General features: G+C 39.7%; 2 protein-coding genes across 9 annotated transcripts in view, besides 1 other annotated feature; one reads left to right on the forward strand and one right to left on the reverse strand.

Annotated features, from left to right (window-relative positions):
* Positions 1–7,867, reverse strand: part of LOC105379199 (uncharacterized) — a 37,642-nt gene extending 29,775 nt beyond the window's left edge. For 2 of the 3 annotated variants that reach the window (XR_007058921.1, XR_007058922.1), the window contains exon 1: positions 6,869–7,027. Coding sequence is in view for 1 of the 3 variants with exons in the window: in XM_047417987.1 (XP_047273943.1) it covers positions 7,100–7,414 (315 nt within the window). In the remaining 2 variants the exon portion in view is untranslated. Of the gene's footprint in view, positions 1–6,868; positions 7,028–7,099 lie in introns of those variants that run through there. The other variant, XM_047417987.1, reaches the window with a different exon arrangement.
* Positions 1–25,675, forward strand: part of MEGF10 (multiple EGF like domains 10) — a 231,923-nt gene that overhangs the window by 54,410 nt on the left and 151,838 nt on the right. For 2 of the 6 annotated variants that reach the window (NM_032446.3, NM_001308119.2), the window contains exons 1-2: positions 7,087–7,347; positions 16,287–16,337. The exons of 2 other annotated variants lie outside the window; for them this stretch is intronic. The gene's annotated coding sequence lies outside the window, so the exon portion shown is untranslated. Of the gene's footprint in view, positions 1–7,086; positions 7,348–16,286; positions 16,338–25,675 lie in introns of those variants that run through there. 2 more of the 6 variants (NM_001256545.2, NM_001308121.2) reach the window with 1 other exon arrangement.
* Positions 24,163–24,791: an enhancer, noted in NCBI's record as "OCT4-NANOG hESC enhancer chr5:126643564-126644192 (GRCh37/hg19 assembly coordinates)". NCBI's record gives its function as "activates a minimal SCP1, AML or CMV promoter by ChIP-STARR-seq in naive and primed H9 embryonic stem cells {active_cell/tissue: H9 hESC(naive and primed)}" and the evidence as "EXISTENCE:reporter gene assay evidence [ECO:0000049][PMID:30033119]".

Here is a 25,675-nt window from a genome sequence, read left to right on the forward strand (position 1 = left end):
AATCTCTAGCTGATGAATGAGCACATTAAAGTTCGAGAAGCATCATTAAGAAAACATGAGAGGGCATTACATATGGTAAGAGTAAGTGTTGTTTCATGAAACTTGTTCTAATTATATACTTACAAAGATAAGAATTTGTTCATAATGAAAAATGTACTTCTTACTGTGGATCATATTAAAACTTTTTTTGGGGGAAAACACTAAGCTAGGGGAAATAAACGGATGAATTTGGAATCCCATTGTTGCCCCTTTCAAAGTAAGAATACTAGGATTGCCTTAAATCTGTGAAGACATGTTACATGAAGAAGACAGAAAAGTACTCCTAACTCCTGATACAGGGTCCAAGGCTGCAAATACAATTTCCTCATCCATTGTTCTGCTCTTCCCTTTCTTCCTCCACTACCTTTAAAAGACAGTGATCTTTTCAAAAACCTGGACAAGAGTCATACTGGAGAAGGGAGCATAAAAAATATCTAGGACTGGAAGAAGAAGACCGAAATGAAGGCATCTGGGAGGAGACTCATGGGCCAAGAACCCCACCTTTCTAATCCTCTATGTCCCTTGGCTGAGACCTATGGCTAAAGACATGACCTCTTCCAATCTTGCCTGCATTTGTGTTGTGGGGAGAGATAAAGCTGTGTACACACAAGAGCTTTAAGGCTCCTGAACACTTTTTTTTCAGTGTAGATTTTCAGTGACTATGAGGAAAAAGTGTTTAAACATAGCATAATGGTGAGATTTGAGGAACCACAGTAAGCAATCAGAAGACCAGAATAAACAGATGTAGTTCTGAGGCAGGTGAAGTGGTAGAGAGAGCATAAGCTTTGAAGTCAGACCCAGGGTCAGTCCTCCCTCTGCCACTCACTAGATATGGGATCATGGGCAAGATAATTGATCTCTCTGAGCCTTCTTTTTCTTACCTGTAAAGCAGGAATAATTATACATGCCTCTTGTTGTTAGAATTGAATGAAGTAAAAAAAATGATAACCTTCTGCCATACTTATGAGTTTACACTCTGCTGTAACCCCCACTTCTATTTTTTTAAGTGGGAAGAAGGTAAACTCTGTGAACTCTAGTCTATTGCTGTAACTAAGCAAGCTTTTAAATCATAGATTTAGAAGCATAATTTGAGAGCACTACTGAAAGGAAATTATGGGTATAAGAAGCCAATCTTGTTTGCTAAGAGGTAGAACTGGTAGGGTGACTTAGTTTTCTTTATTCAAAATATTAGCAGACAGGTAAATGGAACAAATGAGAATATCTCTGGATTTATAAGGTAATTGAAAAAATATCTCATAAAATCCTTGTGGATCAGATGAAGAAAGCAGACTGGATGTAATAATAGAATTGTAGAATTTATCAGCAGTTGAATGACTGTACTACAGGATGTGAATAAATATAAATGGAGAGGAAAGTCTCCGTTAGAATATGCATTTTATTTCTATCTGCTTCTACATGTCTAATAATTATTTGTTCAAGAGCATCGTGGCTTTCTGATCAATTCCCAATATCATGATTTCAACCTGCCTAGCTAATATACTAGGAAAAGAGTTAGCTCCACCAAGCCCTTGACAGGTTCTAAAGATGGACTGCATATACAAAAATGGAATTTGATAGACCTAAATGAATAGTCTTATAATATTACTATGAAATTCTCAACTAAAAATACAAATAATATTTTAAGATGTCAAGATTAATAGCAAATATGAAAAATAATTGGAATTTTAGTAGATTATAAATTCTATGTTAACAGAGTGATATAGTTACCACCAACAAAAAAGTCTACTTAATCTAAGATTGCATTAGTTATGTTGTAGTGTTCAGAATAAAGATAGTAAAAATTAGTAAGGAAATAGAAGACTTGATGAACAGTGTCAACTAATGAGACCCAGTTGACATTTTTAGAACAATCTACCCAATAGCAGCAGCAGTTGTACATTGTTTTCAGGTGCACATGAACCATTCACCAAGAAAGACCATATTTTTGCCATAAAGCAAGTCTCAGCACATTTAAAAGCAGTGAAATAAGATGAACTATTCTTGCTGGCTGTAATAAAATTAAATTAAAATAAATAAAAATATATCTGAATCCCACTACTGGGTATTTAATCAAAGGAAGTGAAATCAATGTATCAGAAGGATACCTGTGCCCCATGCTTATTGCAGCACTATTCATAATAGCAAAGAGATGGAATCCATGTAAGCATGCATCAATTGATGAATGGATTAAAAAACGTGGTATATACACAAAGTGGAATACTATTCGGCCATAAAAAATTGGAATCGTGTTATTTGCAGCAACATGGATGGAACTGGAGGACATTAAGTGAAATAAGCCAAGTACAGAAAGAGGAATATCACATGTTTTCACTCATATGTGGGAGCTAAGAAAGTTGATCTTTTGAAGGTAGAAAGTGAAATAATGGATACCAAATGTTGGAAAGAGTGTGTGAGTGAGAGGGAGACCTGAAGAGAGGTTGGTTAATAAGTATAAATATTCAGTTAGATAGAAGTTGTAGGTTCTAATGGTCAGTAGCAGAGAAGGGTGACTATTGTTAGCAGCCATGTGTTGTAATTTCAAAGTAGCTAGAAGAGAGGACTAGAAATGTTCCTAACACATAGTAATGATAAATGCTCAAGGTGATGAATACCCGAGATGCTCCCCTTGTAACATACTCTATGCATGTAACAAATTTTCACATGAATTCTGCAAATATGTAAAACATTATGTATCAATAAAACAAATACCTAAAAAATTCCCTGAAATTTGGAAATTAAATTACAGTGTTCTATATAACCTATGGGTTAAAGAAAAAATATTTTGAACTATATAAACAGGTTATCAAAATTTGTGGAACATGGTTACAGTAATTATTAGAGAGGAGTTTATAATTTTAAATGCTTGTATAAGAAAAAAATCTAAAAATCAATAAGCAAAAATTTGACTTTAAGAAATTAAAGAAAAAAGAAGAGAAAAATAAATCTAATGTATATAGAAGGAAGGAAATAGTAAAGGTAAGAGCTAAAATCAACAAAGTAGAAAATGTGTAAGTAATAGAAAAAAATCAATGAAACTAAAGCCTGATCCTTTGAATTGATTTTTAAAAATTGATGAACTTCTAATCAAAGAGATAACAAGAAAATAAAAATGCAGACCAATAATTTTAATGAGTATAGACACAAATATCCTGAACAAATTTTAGCAAATCAAATCCAACAGTATATCAAATATATAATACATTACATGGACCAAGTAAGCTTTAACCCAAGAATGCAAGGCAAGTTTAATAAGCAGTTCAGTTAACTAACAGAAAAAAGGAGAAAAACCGTATAATAATTTCAACTGATACAGAAAAACATTTGACAAAATTAAATAGTCACTCATGGTAAAATAAACAATTTCTAGTGAACTATAAATAGAAGGAATTTCTCAATTAATAAAGGGAGTTTAATGAAACTTACAACTAACATCCTACTTAATGGTACAAGACAGATTGCTTTGGTTTATGATGAGCAACAAGGATGGGATACTAAATTTTAGCATTTGTATTCAATGTTGTACTGGGCATCCTATCCAGTGAAATAAGGCAAGACAAATAAATAAAAGAAGCAGAGCATGTAGAAAATCCTAAGCAAACTGAAAAAGAAAAACTACTAGAACGAATAAGTAAATTTAGCCATGTTGCAAAATGTGAGGGTACTGCACAAAATTCCACTGTATTTCTCCATACTAGCAATGAACAATTGGAAACAAGAACTCAAAAATAATTCCATTTATGAAATATTAAAAATAAAATACTTAGGGATTCATTTTTTAAATTGTGTGTAATACTGCCATGTTCAAAGCTACAAAATATTGCTGAGAAACATTAAAGAATACCTAAATTAATGGAGAGATAAATGTTCATAGGTTAGAGGAATCGATATTTTTATGTCAGTTCTCCTTAAATTGATCAATGGATTCAAGGCACTCTCAATTAGAAAAGTGAATTTTTAAAACATTGACAAGCAAATTCTGAAATTTACATGGAAGATGAAAACCAAATAAAAACAAAAACAAAAGCTGAAGAGTTGAACAAATTTTGAAAAAAAATAAAAGCACAGTTGGAAGACTTATTACATCTAAGTTGGAGTCCTATTATAAAGTTATAGCAATCTGAACAGTATGGTTTTGGCATAGGAATAGAAATATAGATCAAATGAAAGGAATAATGAGTGAATCCTGAAATAGACTCACTCATCTATGGCCAATTGATTTTCAATAAAGGTATCCAGTTACTCAATGGGAAAAAAGATAATCTTCTCAACAAATGGTGCCAAAACAACTGGATATCCATGTAGACAATAATGAACCTCAGCCCTTACTTCATACCATACACAAAGGTTAACATCAAATAGATTGTAGACCTAAATATAACAGCTAAAACTATAAACTTCTATAAGAAGCCATAGAAAATCTTCATGACCTTGGGGTAAGCAAAGATTACTTATGTAAAACCTAAAAGTACAACACACACACACAAAAACACGCTTGATAAACTGGACTTTATCAAAATTAAAAACTGCTGTTTGAAAGACACTATTAAGAAATTGAAAGACAAGAAACAGACTGGGAGTGTATATTGGTTATATACATATCTAACAAATGCCTGGTATATAAAGAACTCCTACAACTCAATAATAAGAATCCAAAGACTTGATTAAAAATTGGGCAATAAATTCAGACACTTTATCAAAGAACAGGTGGCATGAGAGCACATGAAAAGCTGGTAAACATCTTTTATGGTCACCATCATTAGTCAGTAAGGAAACGCAAATTAAAACCACGATGTGATACCACTATATACTTACTAGAATGGCAAAAATAAGAAGACAGAAACTACCCAGTGTTGATGAGGATGTGAAGCAATTATCATATCTTGCTGGTGAGAATGTAAAATGTTTTCCACTTTGGAAAGCAGTTCATCTTTCTATATAGTTAAACACACAGTTACTGTAATAATAATTTTACTCCTGTAAGATAAGAAAAATAATAATGTATGTCCACAAAAGGACTTGTTAAAGATTGTTCCTAGCAGCTTTATTCATAATAACCCCATATTGAAAACATCCCCAATGTCCATCATTTGGTAAACTGGCAAACAAATTGTGGTATATCCATACAATGGAATACTACTCAGCAATAAAAAGGAACAAACTTCAGATACAGGCACAACATTAATGAGTTTCAAAAACATTGTGTGGAGTGAAGGAAGTCAGACACAAAGGAATATGTAAGTGATTCCATTCATATGAAATGTTAGAAAAGACAAATCTAATCTGTAGTTACAGAAAACAGCTAAGCGGGCCAAATATGAGGTGGGATAGAAGTTGACTTTAAAGGGGTGCAAGACAACCCTCTGAGGTGATGGAATTGTTCATTATCTTGATTGAAGCAGTGGTTACATGGGTGTGTACATTATTCAAAACTCATGAAGCTGTATAATTAATATGAGTGTAATATATGGAATGTAACTTATCCCCCAATAAAGTTGATTAAAAAATTAAAAGGAAAGTGGGGCAACCAAGTTTCATAAAGCAAAATATCTTTGGGTAATAAGTGGCATGAACTAACAGCCAATTTCCTTAGAAAACAGCCATATGGATTAATCACCTCTAGAATTATTTGTGCCTGTGCTGCCCAGATCAAAGTTCCAACTCCTGGCAGAGAGGGCCTGAGGGGCTTAGCTGAGGTCAGTTGCTCTCTTCTGGACAGGGAAAAGCTGGACCATCCTGACTGACCTTCCACCCAGACTGCTGTCCTTGTGGCAGGGATGGTATCTCAAAGAAAAATGGAGGTACTGTTACCAGAGAAGGGGCAATGATGACTGCTAAACAAACAAATAAACAAACACCAAAACAGTCTTCCCCTGTGTATTTCCAGGGAGAGTAAAGAGGATGGTGAGGGGCTTCAAACATATCTATGTTCATTCATTCCATTCATTTATTCACTCAAACATAATATGGAGTCTGTACTATTTTCCAGGAGCGTTATTGAGTAGGGACTCGAACGCTCTTGAAGTCTCTCTAAAAAGAAAGAGTTCTTATTAATGGGAGGAAGAGAAGCCTGGTAGGAGATGGTTACCTGGAGTGGTTATGGGGCTTAAACCTGTTTTTGTTTTTTTGTGGGGAGAGGGGGATAGAATTCAACGACACAAGAAAGAACTTTGCAGCAGTCAAATTTGTATCTTTTGGGGTCCTGTAAAAGCTGGAAAACTCTTTAGTCTGGAAGAGGAAGATGGACAGTCAGAGAAGCAGATTCCAGAATTCATGTCCTGTCTAACCCACAAATGGAAAAGCCCGTTCATGGTTTTAACATTCCATCACTGGGCCTCCCGGGGCCTCCTCGGCGAGTCGGCAGAGGGAGCCATTCCCCAATAAATTGCCGCGCGAGGCCTCCGAGGACCTGGGGGGATTTTCCTGCGCGTCCGGGGAGTTCTCTCTCCGCCCCTCCATGGTAAAGCAGACTATCCCACCCTCCACCCTCTGCCTTCACCTCCCCGCCCCACCTTTCCATGTACTTTGCTGCCACATCACATTCTCTGGCACGGCTTAATCACCATCCTTTCTGGGTCCCACCTTTGCGCTTTCTCCCCTGACACCACTGAGGACCCGCCGTCCACTCCAGTTGGCCGCTCGGGCGCCGGCCACCGTCCCACAAATCCTTACAGAGGGTCTAGAACACCTCCCAGGGACTCTGCCGAGGGACTTGCACCCAACGTGGGTTGGGAATCAGGCGGGCACCCACTCTGACACCCCTTCGGTCACCCCCTGCGGTGACCCCAACATTTGCTAACTTCGCGACCAGGCCTTTGGCGGGGTCACCCACCAGGCGGTGGAAGCCGCTCAGGCAGGGGCGACTCACGATCGAGGTGCAGCAGTCAGGCCGGGAAGATCCTGCATGTTGCGCTAGGGACTGCGCGCGGCGCCAAGCGACAACCCCCCAGCGGCCACTGCCCCGGCAGCAGCAGCTGCAGCAGCGGCAACTGCTCGAATCCCGGCCCCGGCTCGGGTTACCCGCCCCCACCCCCTCCAGCATCTCGGGCCAGACAGAGAAAACCTTGTTCAAGTTTGCAGCAAGTACTTTCCCGGTGCGCAAAACTGGGCGACTGGGAACGCGTTGAGACGTTCCTCTTTCCCGCTTCTCCACCTTTACGCCTGAAAGAAGACTCCCAAAGATTGCTTTCTTCTGGGACGCTGCTTGGACGCTAACCGCGTTGATTGGAACAGATTTTGTGTCTTGGCTGGCTTTGGGTGAAGACCGGGGAGAAAAGGTTGCGCTGCGATTCTCAAGATCTCTGGACCTGGGTAAGAGTTGGGCAAACTCAACTCCGGCGGCTCCTGGACCTTGGCCGGACGCCGGAAGGCTTCTCATGGGCGGGGGTCACATTTTCCTTAGCCAGGGTACCGGGGTGCGGCGTGAGGTGGGGCGAGATGGGCTCAGTCTGCGTTGTTCATGCGCTTCTTAAGGGTTTATTGTTGTTTGCATTTGGTTTTGTTACATGGGATTGTGTAGGAAAATCCTGGAGTATTTTTGATGGAGAGACATCCTCATTACGCATTTTATTTTGCATAATTCCTGCCCTTGTATTGCCTTACCTTGTGTTTGTTTCATTTTGCCGGGCGATATAGCTGGATGTAGGGAGATTTGTGGGGAATCGGACTGAGCTTGAAAGGCAGTTTCAGCTGGGCCCTTTCTTCTAGGTCAGTTGAACTTCCTTTCTGGGATCTTCACTGTTTTCTAAACTTCTCTTTCTCCCGTCCTTGGTATTCAGATTGTGCAGATAACGCTCTAGGCTGGCGGGATGCTCCCCTTTCCTGAGTTCTCAGCGATCAGTAGGGGTGTGAGGTCGCAGTCTTAGACCAAAGGGGCCTTGTCAGTATGCTTGGCTCCTTAAGGAGTGCTGGGAGGGACGGTTTTTCAAGTGATAGTTACTTAAGAAAGATAAATCCGGTGTTGATCTTTTTCTTTTAAATTCCTTGTTAGAGGACTTTTACGCCTGGTTTAAGGAAGTGTTTTGGCCTTAATTTTCTTTCTGGAAGTATTTTTCTTAGTGACACCACTGAGCAAATGAATGATGGCAATATCTTTGCTGCTTCTTTAGAAAATATCCTCACGCAAGGACCCACATTATTTAGGAGAAAGTCAAAGTTGGAGATCTTATTAGCCAAAATTAGCCATTATTATTGTTCTTAGGCTGTGATAACCATGCTGTGCCAAGGCAGAAGAGAATGACATTTCTTCTTGTTCTTCTTGCCTTACTCCTTTATATCCTGGGTCTCACTTTGTGTATAGGGTTCCCAAATAAAAATGCTTCATTCCTTATGGACAGAAATACTGGGGCCAATTTATATTATCCAGAAATGTCATCTTCCTGACACGAGTGCTCCAAGAGGTCAGCTTGCAGGGAACTTTTAATTTTACCACTGAGAGTTCAAAGAGTTCAGTTGGTAAACTCTGGGCACCCGCCAGCCTGGGTTCAGCTCACAACTCTGCCACTTTTCAGTTCTGTGATTTTGGGGTAAGTTACTTAATCTGTTTATCCACATATGTAAAATCAAAATGATAATAATAGCACTTACATCAGACAATTGTTAAAGGGATTAAGTAAGTTAATGCATGTGAAGGACTAACAAGCCTGACACATAGTAGGCACAAATTAGCTTTATTATTATTGTATAGCTAGCATTAACTATTGTTGTATCCCTCTAGTATAGCTTCTATTAGCTGTCAGTAAGTGTTAGCTATTATTCCTATTTGGATGGACTTTGAAGACTGTGCTCATCTGTAAGCTTCACTACCACCTATTGTCAAACTTAGCTCAGACATGATCTTTGTATTGCTTTTTTGTTGTGGCACTTTCAGTTGGAAAAATAAAGGTGTATATGGCAGAGCTGGAATTTATAGGGTGGTGGGTCATGGATGGGCACCAAAGACTACTTGGAACAGGTGAGGAGGTGGGAAATCTACACTCAGTTCACAGCCTGTATACCTCCTTGGAAATCCTTTACATTAATATACTTTCTTTAACCTATTTTTTAGAGGTCACTCATTTGTTCAGTAAGTATTTATTAACCATCTATTACATGTCAAGCACTGTTTTAGGTTTTATATTTTAAAAATGGCTATGCATGAGTATTGGCTTTATGTGCCTCCTCCCATTTCAAGTGTGTGACCTAGCACTCTATAAATTAAATCCCAAGTATTTTTAGCTACACAATTTCCATACCTGTTAAAATGCTCATAAGAGCACATAAAAAGCACGTATCATTGAGAAATTGAACAAAATATTCCCTATGACCTCAAGCAGATTGCTTTTCTCCATTTAGGCATCAGTTTTATTATGTATAAACTTGTGTTGAGAGGTGGGGAAAGAGTAGAATAACCTCCAGTGTTCCTTCTGGCTCCAAAATCCTTAAATTAGCTGCCTTACTTCATTGGTGGCTGTTTTTGAACCCCCACTTTTCTCTTTTAACATTTGTTTTAGGTACATAAATTACGTTACTTCCATCTTTGCATATTCATCAAAGTGAGTAACAACATCGATAATTAATGAAAAGGGAAAAGCGTTTATCTCTGTCTGTCTTTCACTATTCTCAGACTTTGGTTTATACCAGAAGCATGAAGTGGGGAGATTTGTTAAAATATTAGAGTGAACTATGAGAAATTGCTGATATTTGACCATTTTTGACCTAAATAAATGGCAATTTTGTATGGTTCAAACTATACAAACCCTAATCCCTTCTGCCTTGATTTAGAAGTAGTAAGTCTTCTGTGAGTTGTGAGAAGTCTGCATTTTTACAAGTTCCCCAGGTGATTCTAATGCAAAACTCAAGTCACATGCTCATTTAGCAGCAGTGAATTTACCTTCTTTGTGATTGTCTGCTTGGTTTAATAGTGTATTTCTAAAATGCAAATCTGATCATGTTATTCCCTTGTTTAAAAATCTTTGGCAGCTCTCTGGATGGTGAATGTCAGTGTTACCTGGGTGCATGTTGAAAATATAGATTCCAGGGCTTCACCCCAGAAGTAAGGGCCAGTAATCTGCATTTTGAGATCTCCAGGTGAACCTGGTAAAGCTGACGTCAGATCACATTTGGAGAAACACTGGCTTACAGCATAAAGTCTCACCTCCTTACCGCTATACACAAGACCACCTTTGCAGCACTTCTCAGGGTTATTTTCTGCTTCTCTGGTCCCCAGCTCTCCAGCTCCCACTGATCTTGATCTTGTTACTATCTCAAGAATACGCTGTGCACTTTCACTCTTCCATGACCCAGCTGTATATGCTGTTCCTTCCTCTGAAAATGTCTTTGACCCTCTTTCCTGTCTAACCAACCACTTACCACCCATTCATCTTTTAAGACACTATTCAAATCCCTTTGAAGACTTTCCCTCTGAAGTTTTTCCCAATTATCTCATAAACTTAGCGATATCTCATGCGAGTTCCCATTCTTGTGGATAGATTTAATATAGCATAATCACATTGTATCAGCCATATTTATTATCTGAATGTTTATCCCTAACAGATTGGTGAGTTCATCATTCCTTATTGTAAGCTCTTATACAAGTGGCTGGCCCATAGTAGTTATGGAATAAATGCCTAGAGAATGTTGGAGAAAAGTAAATGGATGAATGATAGTCAACATTTTCTTAGCAGACAAAGTGGTTGGGACAGTATTGTATACATATGGAGGGTGTGGAAAAGCCAGTTGGGAATTTCCAGTTTGGCTAGACATAGCCTAGGAAGTTAATAACTTCAAGTGGGGCTGGGCATGGTGCCTCACGCCTGTAATCCCAGCACTTTGTGAGGCTGAGGTGGGAAGATCACTTGAGGCCAGGGATCCTAGACCAGCCTGGCCAAAATGGCGAAATCCTGTCTCTACTAAAAATACCAGAATTAGCCGTGAGTGGTAGCACACACCTGTAATCCCAACTACTTGGGAGGCTGAGGCACAAGAATCACTTGAACTTGGGAGGCAGAGGTTGCAGTGAGCTGAGATCGCGACACTGCACTCCAGCCTGGGTGACAGAGTGAGACTCTGTCTCAAATAATAATAATAATAATAATAATAATAATAATAATAAATAACTTGGAGTAGAAAAAGGACAAGACAGAATATCCTAAGAGGACTTATGAAACACCAAATGCCACTGAATTAATGTTACATGTTGAACATTATTGCAGGCAGTATAATGAAGAGCTGAGCTTATCCTTTAGGATGGTTTTGGTTTGGTTTTTGGAATGACGTGTCAGAGCACTGGAAAGGAAGTGCCAATGCCAATAAAAACCAACTTTGCTCTGTGCTTTTCCATTTATAAAACACTTCTGCTTCTGTTTTTGTATTTGATCAGAAACATGGTGACTGGTTCAATACTGTCTTTCCTTCTTTCCTGAAAGGACACATTCCTGAAAATAGGTCTGAAGATTGTATAAAAGCCTACATATTATAGGGGATTCTGGCCATAGAAAGCCAAATATATTATGAAATCTCTAATTATATCTTGCTATTTAGACACAGCATTCAGTGTATACTCCATTTTCTAATTTTTCTTTCTTTAAACTTTACACAATTTTGGTTATTTTCTCCTCATTTCAATAACAGTTGACCAGCTCAAGTTCAATAAATGTCTGATTCAGATGAAAAGATTTGCCATTTTTGGCATGTCTAATAACTTCTACCTTTGTCTTACTTAGTTTATGAGACAAACACTTCTCATAATTACTATTAGGCTTTTAATTTTCCCATTTCCCATTCACTTTTTTGTAATAATGAAAATATGCAGTAACATTTGAATAAGTGAATGAATAATTCTCTGGGTAATGACAAGGATGGTGATTCTGCAAAAATTGAACTATTGGCTTAGGGCAGCTGCACCATAAAATAAACAACATAAAAAGTTCATTCATTAGCTGGCATCTGAGTGTCATCATGACACAGGGCAGGGAGGTAGTAGCATCAATAGATGTAGTACAAATATCCACATTGATGGACTTCAAACGAAGCAATATTGAGGACTGCCTTTACTCTCAGTTTCTCAAGGGTGTGTACCCAGTATCTGGTTTTAATAATTAGTTTAGTTTTAAGAATTAATACAAGATTCACTGGGTTCTGTTGATTTGTCTTCTTTTAAAATTATGTTTCTGAAATGAACTTTTTCTAGCTTAGCATAAGCCTGTATCATTTTCTGCCAACCTTTGGAAGTCTTTTAACTGCTCTCCTAATCTCTTTATTCAGTCATTCATTCATTCTTCATATCTGAATGTCCTGAAATTTTTAATTTACCTTTTGTCTCTCTTTACCATTTTGCATTATTGTTCACCATGATCATTCTAACTCTTTTTAAATATAGTTATTGCAGAGGACTAATTTAGAGCATTTAGTAAAAGGATTTCTCATACTATGAGGGAAAAAGAAGGTACAAACCAATGTTATTTTACTTTATAGAACTTTATTTGTGGAATGGCAAGTCACTGTGTGGATGTTATTTGATAATGCAAACTCTGTGGCATTAGCCAATCTGGAAAGTGTGAATGTGATAATACATCCTGTTATTATGGTTGTTCATTTCTAGTGATTTCCTCTCTTATTTCATTTCTAGTGATTTATACTCCTAGATAAAGAAACTATGTAAAGCATTTAAGCACCTCAATTTCCTACTTAGAGGGCAATAAATTGTACCCCTTCCCACTTCTAAGACAAAGAAAACAGTATTTCAGTATGGAAAACCTCATCTTGATAGGTACATGTGCAGGATATTAGCATCTGTTAAAAACATCTTATCTTTGGGAACATCCTAGAGGATGACTAAGTGCCTTGTCATTAATGTCTCATCTGACCCAGATGAGCTGTACAGATTTGGCTGTTTCTCAACATAGCCACAGGTGGTGGTTCCCAAGATGGATCTTTTGAATACCTTCTGCTGAAGAATTTTGGCTTTCTTAAAAAATAATTTTTGATGGCAAATTGAAAACTAAAACACACAAATTTAACTTGTTCCTCACAGAGTGAAATAGAACTATGAAATTTTTGCTTGGTGGCACAGAAGACTAATCCTACAATCAAAACAAAAAAATTTAAATATCCACCCCTATTGACATCTTGAGAAAAGTACTTGAGTTTGGATGAAGAATTGATAAAAAATATGTGACTTGGTTCTTTAAAAAAGTAATAGGTTGGAGAGTTACTTTTTGTTCCACCAGTTTTTTTTGTTTTGTTTTGTTTTGTTTTTTGAAGTGGAGTTTCATTCTTGTTGCCCAGGCTGGAGTGCAATGGCGCAATCTCAACTCACTGCAACCTCCGCCTCTGGGGTTCAAGTGATCCTCCTGCCTCAGCATCCCGAGTAGCTGGGATTACAGGCATGTGTCAACATATCTGACTAATTTTTGTATTTTTAGTAGAGACGAGGTTTTGCCATATTGGCCAGGCTGGTCTCGAACTCCTGACCTCAAGTGATCTGCCTGCCTCAGCCTCTCAAAGTACTGGAATTACAGGCATGAGCCACTGCACCTGGCTGTTTATCAGATATTTATTAGCTGTGTAGGGCATAGGGGAAAATACCATGTGTAATTACCAAGAAGCTCTTGCCTTCGAGGAAAAAACAGACTAAAAAAGTACACATTGCATGCCCATATAAAATATCTCATGTAACCCATAAATATATACATCTACTATGTACCCTCAACAATTAAAAAAAAAACAACAACTGAGCAGGTAAGCCTGGGTATAGTAAGAGCCAAGTGGCAGTTTTGAGAGCTGCCACAAGAGCTCACTGGAGGCTTCCTGGCAGTGTGGGACCTTGAAGGAGAGATTTGAATGGATGGGGCATCTTAGGTGGGGGAATGGGCTCAGCAAACATGTGGTGGCAGGAATTTACAAAGCATCTTCAAGCAATAGTGATTAAACCATTCCATAGTAGTGGTGAGTTTACATTTGAGAATAATTTTATAATAGGCACTTACAGGACCTGCCCATCCCCATAGTACTATCTGCGTTAAAGGAACCCTTCACATTACACTGCAGTTATTTTATAGAAACTAGATGGGATTAGGGGGACCTATTGAGATTCAAGTAAAAATTGGCTAGAAATCTTCCTCCCTATTCCATGAGAAGGTGTAAAATGAGAAAACTGTTCTTCCTTTCAACCACTATGGGATTCTTGGGGCTAGAGACGGAGACAGGGCTCATGTTTCTTCTAGTGTCACCTGGATCTGAATTCATATTTTCCCTTAAGAAGTTTAAAATGATCCGAAGCCACTCACCCAGCCACGAATAACCTTCACTTCATAAAATGCCACCAAATGTGTGGCTTGAGTGTTTAGAATTTTAAGGTTTGGGACTATGGAAAGAGTTCATATCTTAACACTTAGAACTAAATGTTAAACATCCTTGCTTTCTAACAGTTCATCCTACCATTGCCACTTTCTCACCGCCCATCTTTTTCTGAAGGCTACCACCTCCACCAGGTGGCTTCAGCGCTGTCCTGCTGTCCCTGCACTCCTCCTCTCTTGCTCACTGATGACCCACACCCACATTCCTATTATCATCTGAAGCCCTCATCGTTCTCACCTGTCTTCGTCTCAGGTGTTTTTCCCCCAACACTAAGATTTGATAACCACAGTATAAAGTATTTGTCCTTCCAGTATCCTCCCTGCTTTCAGCTGGTTCCTTAAACAGATGTGCAAAATCAGACCATGAGTGAGGTTAGAAATGCTTGAGGCATGTTTACCCTGTGCTCTGACTTCAGAGGCACGAGAATCACCTGCAGATACTGGCTCCTCCCTAGATTTTGATTCGGTAGGTGCGTAGTGGGGTCCCAGGATGTGTATTTTTAACAAGGTGTGCTGATGCAGGTGGCCCATATATGCATGATAATCCTTGTTGGACTTATAGTGCCCCATTCAAAAGGCATGCCTTTTTTGTGTGTTTTTAAATTTTAGTGACTTGGCCAGAGGGGGTCACAGAGAATAGCTGGTCTGTGAGAACCCATGCCTCTCCTCTCTACTTGAAGGGACAATGGCTGTAACACAACGCTGTTCATGTGACAGCCGGAGTAAAGGACCCATTGTTCAGGGGTTGGCTGATGTGCCATTCTGCTGCGGCCAGCCGTCCAACTGAGCTTGGTAGCCCCAAGGAAACAGACACACTTAAATCAGAGAGACAAAGAAAGGAGGTCAAGGCCTTCCACAGTTAAACTACTTGCAGCAATGTGTCAGAGGTAGGATCTGGGAAGGAAAAAAGTAATTCCAAGGAAGCATCATTAATCCTCTGGTTTTGGAGCTGCAGACATGGCGTTGGGGGAACACAAGTCTGTCAAAAAGCCAGTGGATCTTTGGCCAAGGAAGAATTATTTTCTACTGCGTCACACTGATTGCAGGACTTATCTGATTGCAGGATTTTATTACTGATTTAAAAAATAAAAAAGCCTCCCTGTGTCCCCAGGCTCATCAAAGGTACCTGATCTGAAAGCCTGCCTAAATCAAGGTCTATGACTTCAGAGAACAATTCTGTGTTCCTGGGAATGGTCACTGTGTATATATTAATAATTCCCTTCCAGATCTAGATAGCTGTTTTGAAGCTAAGAATTTTTTGAGTCTGAAATACAATGAGTGCCATTAGAAAGTTATTGATAAGTTTGGACAGTTATGAGGCTGGGGGACTCTCCAGATGCCATCTAGATACCCTCCCTCACCCCTAACTTTCAAACTGGATTCTAGCCCTGGAGGGAAAGGGTTGCAAACTTCCTGTAAAAATCTAATCCTGAGCCCAACAATTGCTTACATTCTTTGTGTCAGAAGAAGATTCAAATTCAAGGTCACAGCCTTTGCAAAGGTCACAGACTTTTTCCACAGGATTGTTCTTTTAGCCTGATTACTCCCTTTATGAAAAAGTATGTCATTCATTCAGCCTTTGCCTCTGGGTTTCTTTCAAAGGGAGACTTAGTTCCTAGTTCCTGTGGATACTTGTAGGTGGCTTTTCTTTTCTTTCCTTTTTGTTTTTTTTTTTTTAAGTTAGGCACAGAATACAGACTTGAATGAGGCAGAACAGGGAAAGCCTTTTCTGGACGTGATGGGTTCTGGAGAGCCCATTTACACCAAGTGTTAGGCAGCTGGTGTTCCCTGGCCAGTAGGAATCCTTTTGTCTCTGAGATAAGAGGTTTGTGTCCAGGAGAGGGCAATATGTGATTTGCTTGAGGTCACTTAGAGCTCCTAGTAATTATGTCTGTCATTGTACCTTGATTATAGATTATCATTGCAAATCCATTAAAGAAGGAGAAGCAAGCGGATTTCAGAGAGGCAAGTAGCTTTATTTTCTTCATTATGTTTTCATTCCCCCCCTCTGTTACAGTTTGTTTCTTCTTTACTAAATGGTTTTGCCAATGATATAGATGACTTTGAAGTGGAGAATGGGAAGAGGAGACTTCGTGGGTGGCGAAAGGACTGTGCTAAACACTCTCCTGATTAGTTCATTAATTTTCAATTTGTTGCCATTAGGCCTGTTCATTTGGCTCCCCATTTGTGTGATATAGAGAGGCTTGCCCTCAATGCTTCCAGGCCCGAATACTGTGCTATCCTTGAAGTTCTGTGTAGGTACAGCACTTTTTTTAAAAATAGGAAAGTTAAATGGTCCCTTTTACTGTTGTTGTTTGTGTCCCAAGTAGTATATATAATACTAAATGCTTTTGTAGGCATAGGATGCTTAATGGGACTTAGTTTTGTGTCAGAATAAGGGTCCTGCCCAACAAGGGCTTCTGGGATGCTGACATTACATTTAATCTAAGCACTGGTTGTTATGGGTATGTTCAGTTTGTGAAAACTTATTGACCTGTTCAGTTTTGATTTATGGCTTTTTTTCTGTCTGCATTTTACACTTCAATAAAAAATTCAAAAATTAAAGCCCCATGTTTAATGTAGAATTAAGGATCTATCATGATGGGAAACTGGAAACTCTCACATAATTTGAATCCTGGTGCAGCTGGGAGGGCCTAGAGCTTTAAATACCCATCAATTCACCCTTACTTCTACAGTCAGAGAGCTGTGTGTCAGAATGCAATGCATTAGCACCATCATAGGTGATTGCTTTACTTCTCTAGGCAGCAACTCCAATGCCTAAGAGATCAATAGTGTTAGCAGAGCCCCACTCTTTAGAATCTAAAACAAATGCACCTCTCTAAGTTGGCCAAGCAGCAAATCTTTTCATTCCCACTTTCCACCCTCCTTTCACTCATTTTAGTCTGTCAGGAGAAATCAGAAGAAGACTCTATGGATTATGGATGTTTTCCTGAATCTTTGGATGACATCTCTCTTATGGTCTAATAGTGGAATGCTTTGTTTCCCTCCGATTTCTCTAACTGGGATGAGTTGATATGAGGGGTGAAGTCTTTGGCTTATCTCCGTCACTCATTTCCACTGACACTTCCTGAGCTCCTCAGTGAGCCACAGGAGCAATACCTGCAAACCCATGCTTCCAGTCCCAGAACAACCTGTCGTCCTTTTTCTCTTGAGAAGACCCTTGTCCTCCATCAGTGTGGCGCTGCATATATTATACTAAAGTGAGCCATGAGTCATTGTACTGATAGAACATTCCAGCTTGCTTTTATAATATGGAGTTGGTAGACTGAAATGGAGAAAATAGGAGCATTTTTTTTTTCTCCAAAAGAGAGTTTGGGGCCCTTCGCTTTGAAATGGGTGCAGCACATCTATGAGAGGTCTGAGTACTAAATGTGTACCCTTCATTTTGGCCATTGGACTTACAGGTTGGATGTTGATTTACACAAACACATGTGATTAAAGTTGTGGGTTAACAGACAAGATTCTGATGTTCTGGGTCTATTGCTGACCTTGTCATTTACTGTATGAGGTATGACAAACTGGGCTGGAATCCCTTCTCTACCACTGACATCTTGGTGACTTTGGGCAGGCTACTCAAGCTCTCTAAAGCCTCTTTTCATCAAATGTGAAAAGATAATAGCATATACTTCAAAGATTGTTGCATTTAGCATAGTGGTAGGCACATAGTAAATGCTCAATATATATTAGTTATTATTATTTAACACCAAGTAATGTTAAAATAGGGAAGAATAATTAACACATCTAGGAATCAGGTCTGCTTCTCATGAAAGAATCGTTCAAATGCTTAAATAAGATTCTATTAATTAAATGCAGACGTTAGAAAATGTAGTCTCTGATAGAAGGCATAAACTATAAGGAATTTACAATATTTTGGAATACAAAACAGTTAAATTTACTTATAAGCATAAATGTCTTTTAAGATAGTATGTTACTAAACAAAAAATTATTTATCTTAACTATAGAATTAGGATGAGGCTGCTAGTGAATGAATTTGTTTTTCCTTAGTAAGATGTCAACAGAATTGAAAACAGGTGTTCAAACAATGTCTTGTGTACAAATGCTCCTAGCAGCATTATTTACAACAGCCAAAACTATTATTTTTGGTGGAAACAACCCAAATGTCTATCAACTGATAAAGGGATAAACAAAATGTGATATATTTACAGAATGGAATATTATTTAGTCATGGAAAGAAATGAAGTATGTATGATACATGCTACAACATGGATGAACCTTAGCAATATTATGCTAAGTGAAAAAAGCTAGACACAAAAGACCACATATTGTGTGGTTTCACTTATATAAAATATCTAGAAGAGGCAACTCAACAGAGACAGAAAGTAGATTAGTGATTTCCAGGGTCTGGGGGAAGGGAAAAATTAGGAGTGACTGTTTGATGGGCATGGCTTTTTCTTTTAGGACAATGGAAATATTCCAGAACTAGATAGTGATGATGGTTGCACAACAGGGTTAAAATGATGAATGTTTGGTTATGCAAATTTTTTAAAGGTTAAAAAAGTTATCTCAAAAAAATCAGCAGATGTTTGCATTTAGGTGAGATGTGTCTGCATAGATCAGTTGACCCCTGGTCACGTGTGTGCTATGAGGCAAGCCTTTGTTGCATACTGAGGAGAATGCCAAAAATGGCAAGATGCAGCCTTCAGCGCCTTGCCAGTCTGTTTATGAGGAAAGGAAAGGAGGAGGAAGCAGGTAATCTGTTCCAAGTGAATCCGTCTCAGAAGGAGAGATCATCGGATTTGGTGACCAGAGAAGGCTTCTTGGAAGAGATGGGACATTGAAAGATTTGTGAGCTTTGTGTAATCACAGAAGAGGAGAGAGTACCCCAATGGCAGAAATGTACAGCCCTGGGGAGGGAGAGGAGTATGGGCAAGGACAAGCAGGGATGGCCAGACTAAAGGATTTGTATAATGGAATATCAAGAGATAAGGTTGGGGTCAGTGCAGTGGCTCATGCCTATAAGCCTAGCACTTTGGGAGGCCAAGGTGGGCGGATCACTTGAGGTCAAGAGTTTGAGACCAGCCTGGCCAACATGGCAAAACCCAGTCTCTACTAAAATTCAAAAATTAGCTGGGCATGGTGATGTGCGCCTATAATCCCAGCTACTCGGGAGGCTGAGGCAGGAGAATCGCTTGAACTCAGGAGGCAGAGGTTGCAGTGAGCCGAGATTGCACTACTGCACTCCAGTCTGGACAACAGATCGAGACTCCATGTCAAAAAAAAAAAAAAAAAAAAGCAATAAGGTTGGAAGTGTAGGTTGGAGCCAAGTAGGGAAGTCCTGGAAACCCGGCTGCCAGTGCTTAAGTTAAATTCACCAGGCAGTAGATAGCAAAGGCTTATCATTGATAATAAAAACAGAAAATGAAATAAAAATGGGGAAGACAATAAGGAGACTATTGCAGTAATTTCACTAATTGCAACACAACCCATCATTATTTATTCAGTAAATATTGATTGAGCCCTCATACTCCATGCAATCTTCTATGCTAGGGACAGGGCAATATCTAAGATTAAACACATTTCCTGCCCTCCTGGAGTTGCATTCTAGTACACATTTCAAGCATTGACTTCTATGTCCAGTGGACAAATGTAGTTGAAAAGTTAAGGTGTGGATGTATTAGAATGTAGTGGGGTATGGGTCCTAGAATCAGATTTCTTGGCTTTGAATCCTGGCTTGCCCCATTGTTAACTGAATGTATGTCCATGAAACAGTTACTCTATGCTTCAGTTTCCTTATAATTTAAGAGGGGATAATTATGTTAGCTCTTTAATAGAGCTGTTATGAAGTTTAATTGAGAAAATAAATGAAAAGGACTTAGGATAGTACCTGGCATATAGCAAATGCTCAGTAGGGCTTTCTTGTTTTTTGTATCTGAGATTTTAATTTCTACTCAAGGATTTGTCTAGGTCACTTCTGTTTTTAACTGAGTGAGTCTATTTCAGAATCCTGGCATATTGTATCTCAGGTCTGAGCTCTCCTTAATATGCTGTATGATTTTGGACATTGAACTTGTTGAATTAATTAGCATACAAACTCTGCCTTCCTAATTCAGGCAAGCTGCAAAATTCTTCTTTCCAACAGACCACAGTTCTGGTCTTGTTTTGGGCAGAAGCTTCTAGATAATGCTCCTTCTAGACCCTGAATCAAGAAGTCTTTTGAAGCATCCTGGCCTGAGAGAGCCTGAGAGGTGACCTGACCTCAGGACATCTAGTCTCCCTCTGGAGAAGCCATAGTTTGAATTTAATTTCTTTGTGTTACCACATCATAAGGGCTATGGGCCTCCTCAGCTCTCTGTGCCTCTGTGCCCCTTTCCATGAGCTGGGATGAAATAGCCAACTAGAACAACTATCAGGACGTATGTTCTTTTTTTGTTTACTATTATTATTTTTTGGGACAAAGTCTCCCTCTGTCGCTCAGGCTGGAGGGCAGTGGCATCGTCTCAGCTCACTGTAACCTCTGCCTCCTGGGTTCAAGTGATTCTCCCACCTCAGCCTCCCAGGTAGCTGGGACTACAGGTGCCTGCCGCCATGCCCTGCTAATTTTTGTATTTTTTGGTAGAGACAGGGTTTTGCCATGTTGGCCTGGCTGGTCTCGAACTCATGACCTCAAGTGATCCACCCGCCTTGGCCTCCTAAAGTTCTGGAGTTACAGGGGTGATCCACTGCAACTGGCCTGGAGGTGTGTTCCTATGAGTGTATTCAGAAGGATGCCTCGAAGCTTGTGGAAAGAGATTGAGAAAGAGAGCCCTTACCAGAAACCAAATTGGCTAGGACCTTGATCTTGGACTTCCTGCCTCCAGAACCATAAGAAATAAATTTCTACTGGCTAAGCCACCCTGTCTATGGTATTTTGTTAACAGCCTGAGCAGACGAAAACATTAAAAGAGTATTTGTGGACCTAATTTCAAGATTATTCAGAATTGTGGTGACATAAGAAAAACATGAAAAACTGAACCTAACCCACAGTCCTAATACTCATTTAAATGGATAATGTTGACTTTATTTCCTATCATACATTAGTGAGGCCAAAAGGTTACAGAATTTGTTGGTTAAAATTCCCCCAAGACTCATTTTTCCTCTAGAGGAGGTGCTAATGAGCAGTGAAATAGATCAAAACTAGTGAGAACCATCGTCGGAGAATATGAGGTAAGGAAAGAGTCTGGACAGTTTGTATTTCAGACTTTTAGTTATTGAACAATTGGCCTCATAGCTGTGTGTTCATAGGATGCACCCAGATTTGAGGGGGTGAAAGTGTGAGGGGAGGCTGAGTAGCAGAGGCCTGCCAGTGAGGAAACACTTCACCTAGCCTAGGAGACATGTGAGGTGGTTCCTTGCACCCAAGAGATCCTGCTTCCAGAAGAGTGATGACTGTGCCTGAACCCAGCCAAGGATTCAGGTGTGGAGAGTTCCTCACTATAGCTAAGCCAGATGGTCCACTTTTATTTTGGTGAAGGCCAACCTGAAGCAAAGGCACTTTTCTTCCGCCATTAAAAAAAACAACAAAGCAAAAACAGAGACAAAAAAGCTTGTGATGTGGAGCTCTGCCAAGCTAGGGCTGGAAAAAAAAGTCCCTTGCTTTCCTTCCAAGGCAGTATGTAAATGCTGTTTTGTTTGTGCAGCCACCGGGGATGGTTTAGAGTGCCTCACTAAAGTCCATGGCTGCTATAGAATCTGATTTTTATGATTATGAATATCCTATAAGCTAACCATCTAGGTCTAGTTGTCACCTCCCTGCACAATCATCTTTGGTTGAAGATATTGAATTATACTGCATTGCTATGAAAGCCAAATATCTTCAGAAAGTGATCACCTTAATCTGTTTATAGAAGCTCGAGCATGTGCTTATGTGTAGCTCTTTCCCTAAAGGACAGGACTCTGATCTTTCTGACTTTTTCTAGAGTTCAGGTGTGGCAGGCATTAACTGAGACATTAACTCTTCACCCAAGGAAGGTTTCTTGTAGCTTAACCTAAGGAGTTTTCTGCTTAGCTAGAGAATTTGGAAGACCATTTTTCATTTCTTGGCCAGGTTGTGCTATTTACAAAAATGAGGCCATGTAATTAGGGCCCCGGTGCCGTGTGGATCCATTCACTGGTACATAAGAGAGACTACAGTGTTTTCATGGGTTAGTGGCTGACTGTGCCCTCTCTGTTTCCTTTAATGGTGAATATGTCACTGCTGAGAAGGATGGCAACCAAGTCCTGACAGGCAGATTTTCAGAACAAAGTGTTAGTGAGTGAAGAAAGGTCTGTGCAAGCCAGGCGAGGTTTGTCACTGAGTTCTAAGGAACAGTTCTTTAAAAAAAACAAGCAACTTCCCAATCTGTGTCTAGGATTTGGATCCAGCATAAGTAAAACTCCAGGTAGAGCAAAACCCATTTAGCATATGCTGGGAACTACCATGCCCGTCTTCCATGGTGCACTTACAGAAATGAGGAGGGGACTGGGCCTCACAGCTTGGCTCCAGCTGCTGTGCCCCAGAAGAAAGAGCCATGTGCAGTGGCCATCCCATCCATTCACTGTGGCCCATCATTGTTGGCAGCTAAGCGAAGATGCTCGCGGGTGGTTAGCGCTGGGCCTCAGATTCCTTGTTGAAGGCCCAATGGGGAACCCATGGTTAGAGGAAAGAAGTCCAGGCGAAGCGGAGCTACCTAAGGAGAGACATGCTTTTAGGAGGTTTCGCTTCATTGACTCAGTTCAAGTTTTATCTTAAAGGTACTTTATGCTGGGTTGTGGGGGGTGGTGGAATCAGCCGAGTTTGAGATTCCAGCATTACTCATGAGCCAAGCTTAGCTGCCTGCTTTTAGAATTGCATTAACTTGAGGTAATTTTTTTAATGTTTTCTAATCCTGGAGCAAATGAAAATCATTGACAGTGATGCAGATTTCAAGGCCAATGTCACTAATCCATGAAAATGTTTGTTTTATTTTGCTTTGGCATGGCCTTGAATGAAACAACAACAAAGAAATCCTTCCGGAGTGAAAGGAGCACGCTTCTCCCCTAGAGTTCTGTTAGATAACCCAGAATACTAAAAAAAATACTGGCTCTGGAGCCTAAAGACCTTGCCTTGAGTTGTAGCTTTGCCACACCATATGATGTTAGACACCTGAAAAAACTCTTCTGTGCCTCAGTTTCTTTCTTCACAAGACAAAGAGATCAAAAAGTCCCTTCCCAACCCTGTGAACTTGACTAGGGAGCCTCTGGGGCCATGTCTGGGCTGTTGGGGTGCAGCTGAGTGGTGAGAATGGGGTGGGCAGGGTTCATCACTGGCAAAAGCTATGGCAGAGCCCCAGCTTCGCCTGGGCTAGATGTTTTGCCTGGCCACGGAGCTGCACACCGAATGGAAGTTATAAGACTGTGTGACTGAAAGTGTTTATTTTGAGGATGAATACTAATATCTAATATCTGTGGGGCAGCTGTTTCCCTGGGTGCTCTTCCTCTATGTTGGCTCATGGTGAGGGCACAGCCTAAAGAGCTCTACTGACATGTCTCTTCAAATACAACTTTAGCATAGTCTCAAAATTTCACTAACTTCAGACCAAATTCAAATTTTCTTCTATCCATGATGGAGATATTTTCTTCCAACCCACCATGATAGATCTTTGGGAACATGTATAAAAATTAATGTTGCTATCTTCTTTTATTTTGAACTTACAAATTTAAAAAAAGGAAATTGTTGGCTTTAAAAATTTTGTAAAGTCTGTTTTCTGTTTGCCAAGAGACCCTGATGGCACAGAGCTTCGGTTCAGGAGTGTGGTGTGTAAACCCCGGTCCTCCTCCATGGGGTAATAGAGCCCTGGGATTCTAATCCATGCCACATGCGATGACCTGAGCAGACCCTGTAGGAAAACAGAAGTCTCGCTGTCCCCTCATGGAGCAGTTGCTCACAGTCCGTTGTACAGCTGTGGCCTGCTTTGTTGGGAAGTGCAGCGTGACTTGATCTTTTAAGCTCTTTTCTCCCTGTAGGTATTATAAATAACAACTGCTCTGTGGGAGTACCTGCCAGGAGGGCTTGAGATCTGCATTCTGTACTCAAAAAGCATTGTTTTTTGTAATCTTAACTTCATTAGCAATTACGAGAGAGGAGAAAAATAAAACCCAAAATCAAAGTGACTTTGTTATGATGCAGAAAATCCAAATTAGGGAAATAAGAATTGAAATTGAGAAAGACAAACTCCTTTAAAACCTCAAATTCCTTAGAACTTTTCTGAGAACGTAAGGAACACAAACAGGTCCAGATCCCTAAGATATTCCAAGTTCAACAAACAAATCAGTTTGAATTCAGGCAGGCTATCATCGAGAGCTGGAATTCTGACATTGCACAGTGGCTGCGAAATGCTTGACGCCCTTTTGGTTTCCGTGTACTTAAAGTTAAGAAAATGTGGCACATATACACCATGGAATACTATGCAGCCATAAAAAATGATGAGTTCATGTCTTTTGTAGGGACATGGATGAAGCTGGAAACCATCATTCTCAGCAAACTATCGCAAGGACGAAAAACCAAACACTGCATGTTCTCACTCATAGGTGGGAATTGAACAATGAGAACACATGGACACAGGAAGGGGAACATCACACACCAGAGCCTGTTGTGGGGTGGGGGGAAGGGGGAGGGATAGCATTAGGAGATATACCTAATGTTAAATGACGAGTTAATGGGTGCAGCACACCAACATGGCACATGTATACATATGTAACTAAACTGCATGTTGTGCACACGTACCCTAAAACTTAAAGTATAATTAAAAAAATAATAAAAATAAATAAAAGTAAAAATACAAAAAAATTAAAATAAAAGGTTAAGAGAAAGTTAAATTGCTCTATTTTGGTTTCTGTGTATGGGTTCTGGAGGGATTGCCATCTGTAACGAGATGTAAAATTCTGGGACACTGGCCCAAGGAGAAGGGGGTGAAGAGACCAGGCTGACACAGGATCACACTGTTGTTATTATGTTTTGCCTCCTTCCACTTTCAAGTCCTAGCAACTGCATTACCAGTCCATGTGCAGTCCTTGTGATCCATGGAAGAATTCATGAATGTCTGTCTTAATCATGCAGATGAGTAGTGAAAAGAAGTAAACAAGGAGTTCTCACCTTTTGGGCAGACATCTGTTACTTACGCTTTAATACTAGCTTGCTTTTAGACTTTGTAAAATATTGCGGTAAAATGCACATAACATACCATACAATTCAGCATTTTTAATGTGTGGTTCTGTGGCATTTTAAATACATTCACACTGTTGTGAAACCATCACCACCATCCATC

Source organism: Homo sapiens, chromosome 5 (genome assembly GCF_000001405.40).
Source record: "Homo sapiens chromosome 5, GRCh38.p14 Primary Assembly".
Taxonomy (NCBI): domain Eukaryota; kingdom Metazoa; phylum Chordata; class Mammalia; order Primates; family Hominidae; genus Homo; species Homo sapiens.